We start from the raw sequence: 14,343 nt of genomic DNA, 5'->3' as shown, positions 1-14,343 counted from the left end.
AATCAGATTTTTAAAAATAAGCAAGCCGATAAGTTGATTCTAAACTCCATATAAACAACGAATATGATATAAACAAGGAAAATATAAACAAGAAAATTTTGAAAGAAAAGAGTAATGAGTGGGTACTAGTCTAACACATATTAGAACATAAGATCAATCTATGATATTTTAAACACTGGTATTGGTGCATTTTACACAGATGGATCAATAGAACAGAATAGAAAAACTGAAAGTGGCCAGGTGCAGTGGCTCACTTCTGTAATCCCAGCACTTTGGGAGGCCGAGGCGGGCAGACCACCTGAGGCTGGAAGTTGGAGACCAGCCTGGCCAACATGGTGAAACACTATCTCTGCTAAAAATACAAAAATTAGCCAGACGTGGTAGAGCATGCCTGTAATCCCAGCCACTCAGGAGGCTGAGGCAGGAGAATTGCTTGAACCCAGGAGGCGGAGGTTGCAGTGAGCAGAGACACTGCACTCCAGCCTGGGTGACAGAGTGCGACTCCATCTCAAAAGGAAAAAAAAAAAAAAAAAGAATGCATAGTTGTAATGGGTAGAATTGTGCCCCTCTAATAAAAGATACATTGAAGTCCTAACCCCTGGTACTGCAAACATGCCCTTAACTAGAAACAGTGTCATTGTAGATGTAATTAAATCATGATGAGGCTATACTGGATGAAGGACATATTGGATTAGACCCTAATCCAAAGGTTGGTGTCCTCACAAAATGAGTGAAATTTGGACACAGACATAAACACAGAGAGAAGGCCATGTGAAGACAGAGGCAGAGATTAGAGTGAAGCTGCCACAACCTCAGGAATGCCCGCAACCACCGGCTGCTAGGAGAAATGCGTGGCATGGTCTGTTCACCAGCAACACCAGAAGAAACGTGGCCCTGCGGACACCTTAATTTAAATTTACAGCCTCCTGAACTTTGAGAGAATGAATTTCTGTTGTTTTCAGCTAGCCAGTTTGTGGGAATGTGTTAGGATAGCCCAGGGAAACTGCTAAAGCACTCAAATGCTACATATATTACAGGAATTTAGTATATGATAAAAGTGGCATTGCTAATCAATGACAAAAAGATAGATTATTCAATCAATAGTGTTGGGACAACCAGAGTCACCCAGAGAGAAAGAGCAGAATCCCTACCTCACATCTTCCACAAAAACAAATTCTAGAATGAAGAAAACCTGGGGGTACTTTACATTCATACAGTAAAGAAGGCCTTTTAAAGTATGGATTTTAAAAAACTGAATCCAGCAATAAAATAGCCACAAAAAATTATTTTTAATTCTGCATACAAATAATATAAATAAAGTCAAAAGACACATATAGTATAGACATATCATATGTTATCAACAAAGGGCTGATATTAAGAGCTCCTACATATCAGGAAGAAAAAAAAACCAACCTAATTAAAAGATAGGCGAAGGATATAAACAAACAGTTCCCAGGAAAGGAAATGTAAATGATTCTTAGTCATATGAAAACATGGTCAACCTCTCTTGTAGTAGGAGAAATGAGATTACAGCTACGAGATATTATTTTATATCTAACAGATTGACAAAGATAAAAAGGTTCGATAACACGCTGTGTTGGCAAGAGTGTGGGAAACAGACATTCTCATTCATTGTGAGTGGGAGGGCAGATTGGTGCAACCTCCCTGAAGAGCGATTTGGCAATATCTAAGTAAATTCAAAATCCGCATACCCTTTAACCCAGCATTTCCACTTCTAGGAATTTACCATACAAATACACTCGCGCACATGCAAATTGATGTATGAGTGTGGATATGTGTTGCAGTTTTGCTTATAATAACAATAGATGGGAAACGGCCTAATTTCCTGTCCATAGGGGATGGTGAAATCAATTCTGGAACATCTGTTCAGTGGAACACTATGCACTGGTTTAAAAGAAGGGAGCATTTTATATTTCCAGTATGGAGAAGTCTCTGTTACATGATAGTTAAGGGGCAGGGAGCAGGAAGCAAAGTGCAGAAAAATGTGTCCAATGCAATATCATTTTGTAAGGTTGGCTACAGTGGCTCACACTTGTAATCTCAGCACTTTGTGAGGCTGAGGCAGGAGGATTGCTTGAGCCAAGGAGTTCAAGACCAGCCTGACAAGTATGGCGAAACCCCATTTCTACAAAAAATAGAAAAATTAGCCAGGCATGGTGGTGCACTTTCTGGTCCCAGCTACTAGGGAGGCTGAGGTGGGAGGATCGCTTGGATCCTGGAAGGTGGAGGCTGCAGGGAGCCATGATCGTGTCACTGTACGCCAGCCTGGGAGTACAGTGAGAGACTCTGTCTCAAAACAACAACAACAAAACACACACACACACACACACACACACACACACACAAATACCATTTTGTAAAATATGTTTTATGAACATGTCTTCACAGGCATAGAATGTCTCTGGAAAGATGGGCAAGAAACAGGTAACAGAGCCTGCTTTTAAGTAAGGAACTAGGATGTCGGGCTAGGGAAACTGCATATTTTACACATGCTATGTGTATGTGGTAACCGCTCAGAAAAAAAAAGAGAGAGGGAGAAGGAAATGTATATAACTCAGAAAAATCACCAAGCAAAAGAGTAAAAGTTTTCATCTGAGATCTGAGATTAAATGCCAGCTTCGATACTTTCTTGGACAAGTTATCTCCGCTATCTAAACCTTAGTTTCCCCACCTGTAAAATGGGGATAAAAATATTGTCCACCTCAAGGATATACATGGGGAGGGGATGGGGAGAGACAGCAAGCGTGCAAAAGTGTCAGAAGGTTGACACTTGGTGAATCTAGGAAGGGCACGTACGAGTTCATTGTACTATCGCGCATTTCTGGAATTTTGAAAAAAATTCAAAACAAAAAGTTTCCGCCGTCTCCCCCTCCTCCCTCCTCCCCTGATTCCTGGACCCATTTTTCCAAGCACATTGTACTCCGAGCACCACCAGCCTAGCATAAAGCTGGGGTTGGAAGCCAGGTGACCCTGGTGACGAGGCCACCCCAGCGTCACTACAGGCCCCTTACCCCTCTCTGTGCGCGCGGGTGAAGAGGGTCCTTTTCCTGCCGGACCCCTGCAGGTCGGAGGTTGAGGACCACTGCCCCTGGTTATGTCTTGCAGGGAGAGGACCCAGCTGTCCCCTCTGGGACTGGGAGGACAGACGCCCCCCCGGGGGTGCCATTCCCCGCCCCCCGCCCACCGCGCGGGCTCTCTCCGCGGGGCCTGTGCCGGGACACGCAGGGAACCCCGGCCCTGGCACAGCCCCTATCAGATAAGGCCGCCTCCCCCGCGCTGGCAGCCCAGAGCCGGCGAGGAGTTTACGTAAGCCCGGTTGTTGATGGAAAAACAAAAGCAGCAACAGGCGTTTCCCGGCCTGCTCGCGGGGAGCCGCGGGCCCCAGACGCTGGCTCACCCCAGAGAGGACCCGTCCCGACAGCTCCCCGGGGGCTCGGGCTGAACTCCGGGGGTCCCATGTGTTGGAAGACCAGCTCTCAGGGGGCCACCCAAAGGCTCCCCGCACCCTAAGCCCAGGCCACCCTGCACGTGGGCCCAGCAAGCGGGAGGCAGTTAATGAGTGCTTGTTCTTAACCCTTCTCCTGCCAGCCCCAGCCGCACCGCCTGCGCACCCCCAACCCGCACCCCCTGCGCCCCTCCCCTCCGCGCCCTCCCAACCCCTCCGGGGCCCGGCTCTGGCCCCACCCCCGCCCCGGGCTCAGAGCCCAGGGGACCCGGTCCAGGCATCCATCAGCAGCACTCCATGAATGCCTGCTGCGTGCCCGGCCCTGCTCACGGGCGGCGGTGAGGGAGGGATGGGAACCAGGAAGGAACGGCGGACTGGGCCTGTGCTGAGAGAAAATTAGGGGAGAACTCCTCTATATACGGAGCCTGCTTTCCTCATTTAAAATTGAGGAAAGCTAGCTACTCAGGAGGCTGAGGTGGGAGGATCGCTTGAATCCGGGAGGCGGAGGCTGTAGTGAGCCGAGATCGCGCCTCTGCCCTCCAGCCTGGGAGACAAAGTGAGACTGTTTCAAAAAAAAGAAAAAAAGAAAAAAGAAAAGGAGAGCTAAGGCAGACCTTCACAGAACTGTGGGACGAATGAAAGTGGACAAGTGAGGGTGTGTCTCACCCCCACCCACATCCATCTTTGCCTGGAGGGAGGCGGAGGGCCGGGGTTCAAATCCCAACTCTGCCAGTTGCATAACCTCCACCTTATACCTAAATCTCTTTATCTGTAAAAGGAGACTAATACTTGTACCAACCTCAAGTTTTGAGAATTAAGTACCAACCTCAAGTTTTGAGAATTAAGTGAGACATTTCGAGGATTAAAAGAGATAAATACTACACCCTTAAAATCATAACTCGTGTCTGGCACAAAATATCCCACAGGACCACGTCACCGTGGAATGTAAATATGTCACAGCCACCTGCCCTTTCTGTCTCAGCACAGACATGTGTCTTTCAGGGTGGCCTCATGACCTCCCATCCTGAGTCCACTGGTCCAGTGGTCCAGTTATATTCCCTCACCAGTTCCCATCAACCCCCTCTTTTCTTCTTTTTCCTTTTTAGAGACAGGGCCTCAATCTGCCACCAGGCTAGAGTGCGGTGGTGTAATCACAGCTCCCTGTAGCCTCGAAGATCCTCCTGCCTTGACCTCCTAAAACTCTGGGATTGCAGGTGTGAGCCACCACACCCAGCCTCCCATCAACCCACTTCTCTTGATAACCTCTCTTGCCTGTGGAACCATGTATTCCCTGCCAGCCTGGGCACCTACTTTGTGCCAGGCCCAGTGCTGGCCCTGGGCACTCCATGATAAATCACATTTTGGTCCGGTCCTCTGGGGGTCCAAGTTCAGAGGGGTGGAGATACATGTATACACAGAGCCAGGACCAGTGAAGAAACCCAGTAGAATTTGGAATGACTAGAGGATGTTATAAGAATCACAAAGGATCGGCCGGGCACGGTGGCTCACGCCTGTAATTCCAGCACTTTGGGAGGCCGAGGCGGGCGGATCATGAGGTCAGGAGATAGAGACCATCCTGGCTAACACGGTGAAACCCCGTCTCTAGTGAAAATACAAAAAAAAAAAAATTAGCCGGGCATCATGGTGGGGGGCGCCTGTAGTCCCAGCTACTCGGGAGTCTGAGGCAGGAGAATCGCCTGAAGTAGGGAGATGGAGGTTGCAGTGAGCCAAGATCACACCACTGCAATCCAGCCTGGGCAACAGAGTGAGACTCTATCTCCAAAAAAAAAAAAAAAAAAAAAAAAGAATCACAAAGGATCATGTGGGCACAGCGTTAGCAAGCAAAGGATCATGTGGGCACAGCGTTAGCAAGCAGCCCGACACACAGTAGCACAGGAGGCATACCCCCAAACCATAATTGCCTACAATCATGCTGTTTATTAATAGAGAGACCTAGAATGCTGACTCTGCCATTTACTTGCTGTGTAACCTTGGAAAAAGCACTGTCTCTTTCTGGGCCTCAATTTTCCCCATTCATCCAAGGGAGATGCTAATATTAAATACTCATCTTAAGACTCTGATGAGAGTTGCCGGGCGCAGTGGCTCACGCCTGTAATCCCAGCACTTTGGGAGGCTGAGGTGGGCAGATCACCTGAGGTTGGGAGCTCGAGACCAGCCTGACCAACACGGAGAAACCCGTCTTTGCTAAAAATACAAAAATTAGCCGGGCGTGGGGGCACATGCCTGTAATCCCAGCTACTCGGGAGGCTGAGGCAGGAGAATCACTTGAACCTGGGAGGCAGAGGTTGGGGTGAGCCGAGATTGAGCCACTGCACTCCAGCCTGGGCAACAAGAGAGAAACTCCACCTCAAAAAAAAAAAAAAAAAAAAGACTGATGAGAGTCAAAGAGTCAAAGTCAATGCACATGGAAGCACTTTCTGGACTCTTAGAGGGTTAACACTATCAGCAATGACCTAACCTATCAATGTCAGTGGGAGAATACAGCCTGGGATACAGGACCTGGCATCAGAATCCAGCCCAGACACCCCTTGTTTTGTGACCTATAGCAAATGGCTCAGCCTCAGTTTTCTTGTCTGTAGAGTGGGAATAACAATACCTACCTCCTAGGTCACCACAGGGAGCCAAAAAGATCGCAAAAATAAGGGCAAATACTTGCTGCACGTATTCAATGGCAGGATGGGTTTTAAAGTATATGTGTGTGTGTGTGTGTGTGTGTATATATATATATATATATGTTCACCTCCTGTCATTTTACAGTGGGGAAATTGAAGCAGAGACTTTAAGCAACTTGCCCGAGGTAACACAGCTGGACAACATTGCTGGGAAATAATCCTGGCTCTGGTGAGGTCCAAGGTCCTCACCAGCCTGCATCACTGCCCCCCCAGAACTTAGCAACAGCACATAGTCAGGCCTCAGCAAACAGTAGCAATCATTCTGTTTCTTTTAATATGTTGTGTTGATATCATCATGATCTTAATTACTCATCAATCCCTTCCCAGAGCAGGGCAAGCTGGAGCGCTTTGAGAGCTGGCGCCAGGATCCTAAAATGCAGCCAGAGCTTTGTTTCCTCATCACACCCAACCCGAGCCAGCCCATGGAACGGCGCGGGGGGCAGGTGGGTCCAGTGCTGGGGCTGGGTGCCCTCGTGAGCATGAGTATCACATGCCCCTCTTTGCCCAGTCTGGCATTGGACACCCACCCGGCTCCTGGAGCAGGGCAGGGCCAGGAGGGGGAGGCAGGGGCAGACACTGGGCCTTTTGTGTCCTGCTCCCCACACAGCCCAGCCCAGAAAGTCGTCCTCACCCCAGCCTCGGGCTGGGCGAAGGGTGCACAGGGCCCTCCTGGGAGAAGCAAGAATTAGGCTGGAGTTGGGATTCCAGCCAAGACCCTGGCTCCACTGCTTTCTGGCCGAGTGTTCCTGGGCCAGTGCCCCAGCACTTCAGCCTGGCTTTCTTGTCTCTAAAATGAGGCATAAAGAGCTGGCCTTTGGTGCAGGTGGGGGTCAGGGGAGACAGGAAAGGAAAATATTGGTCCTGATGGGGCTGAGGGAAGCAGACAGGACAGGGGGGCCGCCACCCTTCTGTTAGGTGGAAATTGATTAGGGCTTTCGCTCCCTCCTCAGGCAGGCTCAGCTCACCCCTCAGCCCCAACACACACCCCAACCTGCATCACACGAGCAGAAGCCACCCTGAACAGCTGTGTACACCTGAACAGTCATCACACGGACTCACACAAACCTCTGAACACAGACACACACATCTGAGTACACACACATCTGATTACACACACACACACCGCTGATCACAGACGCACTCACAGTCGGACATACTTGTACACATCCCCCTAAAAATAAACAAAAACACACACGTCTCAACACATACAGACGCTCCCACACTAACACCACGGCACAGCCACACTCAGATTCCCTGACAGCAGCACACATCACAGACCTCCACCCAGCCCCACCGCAGCCCCACCCCCACTCATCACACGCCATACACAGGGTCCAGTCCTGGGAGTGGGGGGCCCGCAGGGAGAGTGAGCCCTGGGGGCACCCAGGATGGCGGTCTGGAGCTGCACAACCCTCACCCCTTCCATACCGGAGGACCCTCTCAGGCTTGAGCCCAACACCCCTGCCCAGAAGCCCGAGGAATGAGGCTAAGGGAGAAGAGGACCCTGGGGGACCCACCGCGTGCCAATGCCTGTGCCGTGAGCTGCCATCTGCCTAATGCAGTACGCGGCACACGTGAGGGCTCAAAAGCGTCACTCCCAGTTTTGGAGCCCAGGAAAGCGTCCGGAGCCCGAAACAGCTCTCCGGAGTCCCCGACACCCCTCCCTGAGGGGAATTTCCTCCGCGAAGACCCCACCCAGCCTGCTGAGGAAGTGAGAGACCCGGGGCGATGCCGCGGTGCCCCGCCAGGGGGCGCCCTCGTCCGGCCCCTGCGGCGGCTCTGCAGCCCCAGACCCGGCGTCCCAGCTCCGATGGCCGCGGTGCCCGGGCCGGCTCCCCCGGGACCGTGCCTCGGTCCGGGCTGGGGGCGCCCCCGCAGGATGTCTGCTCTGCCCACCTCGCCGGATCCGACCTCGGCTCCGGCTTCCGCCCCCCTCTCCCCAGTCCCCAGGGACCTCCTCTTACAGCTCCAGGCCCGCGGCCACCCCCATGCCCGGAACCGCCCCAAGCCCACCCCCACCCCAAGCTCTGAAAACCACTGCGGCCGTCCCAGAGTGGGAGCCCTCCCTCTCCTCTTTTCAAGGGGCAAGCACGCTAGAGGTGCCTGAATGGAAAGACGGAGCTGAATAAATAGCAACAGCTCCCAGGAACTGAGCACTGCGATGAGCCAGGCACTCTGCTAAACGCTATGGCTGCGTGAGTTACACCATTCAACGTTCACGAAACCCTAAGAAGTAGGTGTCATCACTACCCCCGTTATACAGACGACAAATCCTGGAAGCTCAGAGAGGTTCAGTACTTTGCCCAGGATCCCACAGCAGTAAGCGGCAGGACAGAATCCAGCACCGAACCCCTAAGGACTAGACTCTCAACCATAGTGAACGCTTATGCTAACATTTACCCTCTCCAGGACTTAGGAACTATTTAGGAGGGACTCATCCGGGCCAGGAGTAATATGAAGATGGAGAGGCTGAGTCATGGAGCTTACACTAGCAGGAAAGAGAGAGTATAACATACTTTCAAAACAAGAACCCACAGATTCATACTGAACCGGGCAGTCACAGGCCAGCCCCACGTGGCCCTGTTGGCGTTGGGGTAGGGATGCGGGGAGAACAGACAACTACAGTTGGTTTATTCCCTCTTCCTCCACCTAGCCAGATGTCCCATTACCTGGTGGCTTTAGGAGCCCCCTCACATCCACCCCTGCCCCCTCCAGCCCTGCATGGTGAGAAGGGTGGAAGTGACAGCAGAGAAGGTTCCAGAGAGGAGGGGACATTTGAGCAGGAGTTTTTGAGAAGACCCTCAGGCAGAGAGCCCACCCAGTGTGCAAAGCACTGGTGAGTTTGGTGCACCTGGCTGGCTTTAAGCCCAAAGATGGGTAGGTAGGTCCCAAGTCCTGCACCAGAGAAGTGGGCAGGGACTAACTTGTGACCAAGCCTCAAATGCCAGCTTGAGGACACTCTTACTCAGGATAGCTGGGAAATTCAAAGAAGAGAAGCACTGGGTAAGTGTCCCAGGTCCCTTTCATGCCTCCTCCTTCTGACTGGGAGCCCCTTGAGGGGAAAGACCAGGCCAGCACTTGGATGTCTCAAAGCCATCAAAAACTCAGCAAATCTAAACCACAAATCCCCGAGCATCTTCCCCCTTCCTCTTCCTGATGACTTTCCTCATTGCAGTGAAGGGCCACAGCATCCACCTGGTTATGATCCTGATCCCTCCTGGCTCTCCCTCCCCCCATAGCTGGTCCATTCCCTCTGCCTCCACCTAGCCAGATGTCCCATTACCTGGCAGCTTTAAGAGGCCCCTCACATCCACCCCCTGCCTCCTCCTCCCCTGCCTTCATTTCTAGCTTCCTGGTGCTCTTGGAATTGAGGCCCAGACATGCTGCCTGGAAAGCCCCTGGCTGTGTCCTCAGCCCCACCTCCCACCACCTTGGCCCTTGCTCTGAGAGCTCCGGCCACACTGGCCACCTTTTAGTGCTGTGGACCTCTGAGCCTCAGGGCCTTTGCACATTCTATTACTCCTTTCTCCCCTCCTCCCACTTGCGAGTTAATTTCCATACACTTAGCTGGTCTCTTACTGATGATTTTCTCCAAGAAGCTCTCCTTTTCCTTGCCCGTGTATACACTCTCATGGTCTCACATAGGCCTCATCACAAACATCAGTAAGTACTTTTGAGGTTGTTTGGCATTTGTCTCCCTTGGTAGATTCTGAGCTCCATGAAGACAGGGACCATCATATTCGCTCATGACCCCACTGCCCAGCAGAGGGCCTGGCACTCACTAAGTGTCCCTCAGCCAGACAACCCCCTCTCTGCTGCATCCCGGCTAGGTGCCCACATGTAAGCCCCTTCCCCTCTTTGAGCTTACCCTGATCATCCCTAAGATGAAGGATGTGCCTGTCCGAATCCCTGAGGGACTTTTAAAAAATGCACAGGTCATTGTCATCAATCATCATCATCAAGTTGGAACCAGGGAGTGGGTGGAGTATAGAGGTTACAAGAGTGAGTGGATGTTGGCCAGGCACGGTGGCTTACGCCTGTAATCCCAGGACTTTGGGAGGCTGAGGTGGGCGGATCACAAGGTCAGGAGTTTGAGACCAGCCTGGCCAACACAGTGAAACCCTGTCTCTACTAAAAATACAAAAAAAAAATAGCCAGGCATGGTGGCAGGCACCTGTAACCCCAGCTACTCGGGAGGCTGAGGCAGGAAAATCGCTTGAACCCGGGAGGCAGAGCTTGCAGTGAGCCAAGATCGCACCACTGCACTCCAGCCTGGGTGACAGAGCTAGACTAAGTCTCAAAAAAAAAAAGACTGAGTGAATGTTGATAACTGGAAGCTGAGCAGGGAGTACATGGAGGTTCATTGTACCCTTCTGTTTACTTTGTATATGTTTGAAATTTTCCATGATAACAAGTTTTTTATAAGACACACCAGCCTGGGCTCCTCCCCAGGAAGTGGTGGCGAGCCAGTAGGGGAATGTGGAAACGCCGCTGGAGTGGTTCTGACGAGCAGCTCCGGCCAGAGGCTCTTCTAGGCTGCTTCCAGCTCCAAAGAATTAGCAGTGATTCTCTTTCTCCTGTCCACATGGGTGCTGTTCACTAGCGGAAAAATACCACACCCTGAGCATGTGCTTCTGCCCTCTCCCCAAGTCCCTCCCCCCTACTCAAACACTTCTAGGTCAATTGCCTGCTCTTCCAACTCAGAAAGTACCCCCAACCACCAGTCTGTATTGGCAGCCTCTTCTGGACTCCTTGCCTTCTTGAATGCCTAGTCCCAGCTGCCTTCGCACCTGGTCTGCATCTGCCAGCCCCTAGCAAGGATCGCAATTTCCTAGGTACCCCTAGCCACCATGCCTGGCGCCAGGGACGAATTGACTCATGCTGGCTGAATTCAATTGAATTGCCATGGAAATGTCTCTGTGGCCCCTGAACTGTGTGATCCTGGGCAAGTGGCTTCTCCTTGGCTTCCTTCTGTGTGAAACGAAGTGCTCATCCCTGCCTCCTAGAGGCAAGGATTCAATGAGATAATAACTGTAAGAACGCATCACCAGTTGCAGAGTGTTACACAGGACTTTCACCACTTGCAGAATGAGACTCTCCCACCTTGGGCTCCCATAATTCCCAGGCTTCCTTCCTGCTGGACAGTAGCTGGCTATTGTACCTGTCTCCCAGAGAGGCTGGGAGCCAGAGGGAAGGGCTGTTGGCCAAATCATCTCCACATCACCAGTCTCGGGTGCCCAGCACTGGGTTGAGGAGAGAGGGAGGGACAAAGAGTAAAAAGGAAGGTATAAAGGGCCTGCTGGCAGGCTGGGTGCAGTGGCTCAAGCCTGTGATCCCAACATTTTGGGAGGCCGAGGCAGGCAGATCACTTGAGGTCAGGAGTTTGAGACCAGCCCAGCCAAAATGGTGGAACTGCATCTCTACTAAAAATACAGAAATTAGCCAGGTGTGGTGGTACACGCCTGTAATCCCAGCTACTGGGGAGGCTGAGACAGGAGAATTACTTGAACCTGGGAGGAGGAGGTTGCAGTGAGCCGAGGTCACACCACACAGAGTCCCCAGGAGCCAAAGAGCCCACAATGTCCCTCCCTGGGGCAGCGGCTGGCAGGTGTAGCCTGGAGTTGTCCATCCTTGCCAGCAGGTCATGCAGCCCACAGCAACAAACACTGCTCTCCAGGAAGCCAGTGCTGCCACGTGGGACTCCAGCATAACTACAAGGAGGAGAGGGGTCCTGTCACCCAAGGAAGAGCAGGGGAGTCCTGCTGCACCTCCAGGCCCCTGGCCTCATCACGTTCCCCAGCCTTAGATAAGGCCCCCTGTGAGCTGAGTTTCACCAGCCTCTCCAGGACATCCCCACCCGGGAAACTGCCCTCCACTCATGAGCCTGCGGCACATCCTCTTGCCTGTGACCTGGGCTGCTCCTCAGTCAGGAATCCTCCCTGGCTCCCTTCTCCATCTGATCACCTTCTGTTCATTCAAGAGCCCAACCCAACCCATCTCCTCTTTCAACTTTGAGACAATTCCTCACACCATCACTGTGGCCCCCTGGGAGTTAGTCACACCATGAATAAAGCAGGTACATAGACTTTCACTGAATCCCCACAGCACCCTGCAAGTGAACACCATTGGTCCCATTTTACAGATTATGAGACTGAGATTCAGAGTGGCTTAGTATCTTGCCAAAACTTTCAGAGCAGAGAAGAGTGCGAAGGTCTCTTCCCTGTGCTCCAGACCTGCCCACCTTGGAGGAAGGGAGACTTGGCAGGGTGGGGTAGGGCTAGGGTGGAGACCCCAGCCCCTGAAGACCACCTAATGCCAGGCCTGGGTGTGGGTCTCAAGAACAAGGTGTCTCTCCATATTCATAGAGGGTTGGGTGGCCCCCGATCCCCACTGCAGTCAGCATGCGGGGAGGTTTGGATAGGTCCCCAGAGCTGCAGGTGGCTGTGGCGATGGTACTGTCTCCCTCCCTCCCATCATGGTGGACAGAGCTGGCCTACCAGCCTCAGCACCTGCCTCCCCTCACCTGCTGTCACTCAGTCTGAATTGCCGCTGATTTACCTGTCTGGCTTTTATTTATTTATTTTTTTTGAGACCTACTCTTGCTCTGTCACCAGGCCGGAGTGCAGTGGCGCGATCTCGGCTGACTGCAACCTCTGCCTCCTGGGTTCAAGCGATTCTCCTGCCTCAGCCTCCCGAGTAGCTGAGACTACAGGCACATGTCACCACGCCCAGCTAATTTTTGTATTTTTAGTAGAGATGGGGTTTCACCATGTTGGCCAGGATGGTCTCTATCTCTTGACCTCGTGATCCACCCACCTCGGCCTCCCAAAGCGCTGGGATTACAGGCGTGAGCCACCGTGCTCCGCCTCTGTCTGGCTTTTGAGCTCACCTCTCCCTCTCCCTCAGTGTCTCTCCTTACCAGCCTCACAGGAGCCATCTCTGTTTCTTCTGCTGTCTCTCAGTCTTGGTCTCTCTCAGCCTCTGAGTCTGTCCCAGGGTCTCCCTTTACCAAGTCTTCCTTCTCAATCTCAATCTTTCTGTGTCTCACCATCTCTCCCGTGTCTCTGTCTCCATCCCTGTGGGTCTCTGCCTCATCACTCTCTGTGTTGCTGTTTTATTCCCTTCCTCTCTCTCCCTGTCTACTGCCTTTCTGCCTCTCTCTCTGCCTATGTCTCTCTCTCTCTCTCTCTCTGCCTCTGTATCTCTGTCTCTGTCCCTGTCTCTGTTCCTATCTTCCCAAGTCTGTGTGTGTCTTAGTCTCTGAGCCTGGGGAGAGCAACGCCCCATCCAAGGTGTCCCCACCCCTGGCCCAACAGCAGCCCTGGCTCCTCAACGTGCTCTTATGCAGGGGTGGGGGACCCCCGGGCATCATTCCAGGGCCCTCTCCAACTGGGTGCCAGTGCTGACAGACAAGATAGGAATCAGACTCAGCTTTGTTGGTGCCTGAGCAAGGGGCACAGCGGGCTACGCGGGGGCGTCTGGGTGCCTGTGAGCATCTGCATGTGTGCACACCCGGGTTTATGAGCGGGTCTCCCTGTGTGGGGTGGTCTGGGTGTCTGTCTAGGTGGATTGATGAGCATCTGGGCCTGTTTACGTCTGTCTGCGAGCATCTGTGTGTGTGTGTGACGTTGTGTGGTGCTGTCTGGGTGTGAGGACCTTAGCCTGTGGGTCTATCTATCCATGAATGCCTCAAGAACGTGCATGCGTGCATGTGTGTCTGTGGGCACCCGTATGAGTTGCTGGGGGTAACTGGCGTCATGGTGTCTGTCTGTCTGCAGTCCAGGCCCTCTGATTGCATTCCCTCACAGAGTCATCAATGGGAGACAGATTCCATGACCCCATTGGGCAGGTAGAAAAGTTGAGGTTCTTAACCCTCTTGCTTGCGTGGGTAACTATGAACATGTGTCTGCTTGAGGGTAAGAGCCTTGGATCTGAGGGCATAGACCTGGCTCAAAGCTTGGCTCTTCCATCACTAGCTGTAAGTAGGCTAATCTTGCTAAGCCTCCTGAATTCATTCAGCAAAAAATGTATCGATCAAAAACAGATTTTTTTAAATAGGAGCTATCTTGGGAGGGATTGAAGGAAGGGGCCTTAAGGGAGACTTCTGGGTGCTGAAAGTGTCCTATACCTTGATTTGAGTGGTAGTTAAATGGGTGTGTTCATTTGAAAGACATTAATCAGGCT

At 52.1% G+C, this 14,343-nt stretch overlaps 1 long non-coding RNA gene across 1 annotated transcript in view, besides 5 other annotated features; it reads right to left on the bottom strand.

Moving 5' to 3' along the window:
* Positions 1–13,422, bottom strand: part of LOC107987037 (uncharacterized) — a 48,715-nt gene extending 35,293 nt beyond the window's left edge. The window contains exon 1 of the long non-coding RNA XR_001746580.2: positions 13,079–13,422. This is a non-coding gene — a long non-coding RNA (uncharacterized LOC107987037). The remainder of the gene's footprint in view (positions 1–13,078) is intronic.
* Positions 2,740–3,535: an enhancer, noted in NCBI's record as "H3K27ac-H3K4me1 hESC enhancer chr9:126807814-126808609 (GRCh37/hg19 assembly coordinates)". NCBI's record gives its function as "activates a minimal SCP1, AML or CMV promoter by ChIP-STARR-seq in naive H9 embryonic stem cells {active_cell/tissue: H9 hESC(naive)}" and the evidence as "EXISTENCE:reporter gene assay evidence [ECO:0000049][PMID:30033119]".
* Positions 7,096–7,628: an enhancer, noted in NCBI's record as "H3K4me1 hESC enhancer chr9:126803721-126804253 (GRCh37/hg19 assembly coordinates)". NCBI's record gives its function as "activates a minimal SCP1, AML or CMV promoter by ChIP-STARR-seq in primed H9 embryonic stem cells {active_cell/tissue: H9 hESC(primed)}" and the evidence as "EXISTENCE:reporter gene assay evidence [ECO:0000049][PMID:30033119]".
* Positions 7,629–8,163: an enhancer, noted in NCBI's record as "H3K4me1 hESC enhancer chr9:126803186-126803720 (GRCh37/hg19 assembly coordinates)". NCBI's record gives its function as "activates a minimal SCP1, AML or CMV promoter by ChIP-STARR-seq in primed H9 embryonic stem cells {active_cell/tissue: H9 hESC(primed)}" and the evidence as "EXISTENCE:reporter gene assay evidence [ECO:0000049][PMID:30033119]".
* Positions 7,707–7,766: a silencer, noted in NCBI's record as "silent region_20257". NCBI's record gives its function as "represses an Ori minimal core promoter by ATAC-STARR-seq in GM12878 lymphoblastoid cells {active_cell/tissue: GM12878}" and the evidence as "EXISTENCE:reporter gene assay evidence [ECO:0000049][PMID:35858748]".
* Positions 7,807–8,016: a silencer, noted in NCBI's record as "silent region_20256". NCBI's record gives its function as "represses an Ori minimal core promoter by ATAC-STARR-seq in GM12878 lymphoblastoid cells {active_cell/tissue: GM12878}" and the evidence as "EXISTENCE:reporter gene assay evidence [ECO:0000049][PMID:35858748]".
* Positions 13,423–14,343: the final 921 nt, after the last annotated feature.

This window comes from Homo sapiens, chromosome 9 (genome assembly GCF_000001405.40).
Source record: "Homo sapiens chromosome 9, GRCh38.p14 Primary Assembly".
NCBI lineage: Eukaryota > Metazoa > Chordata > Mammalia > Primates > Hominidae > Homo > Homo sapiens.
Note: the sequence above shows the minus strand (reverse complement) of the source record. Positions and strands in the feature narration are given on the sequence as shown.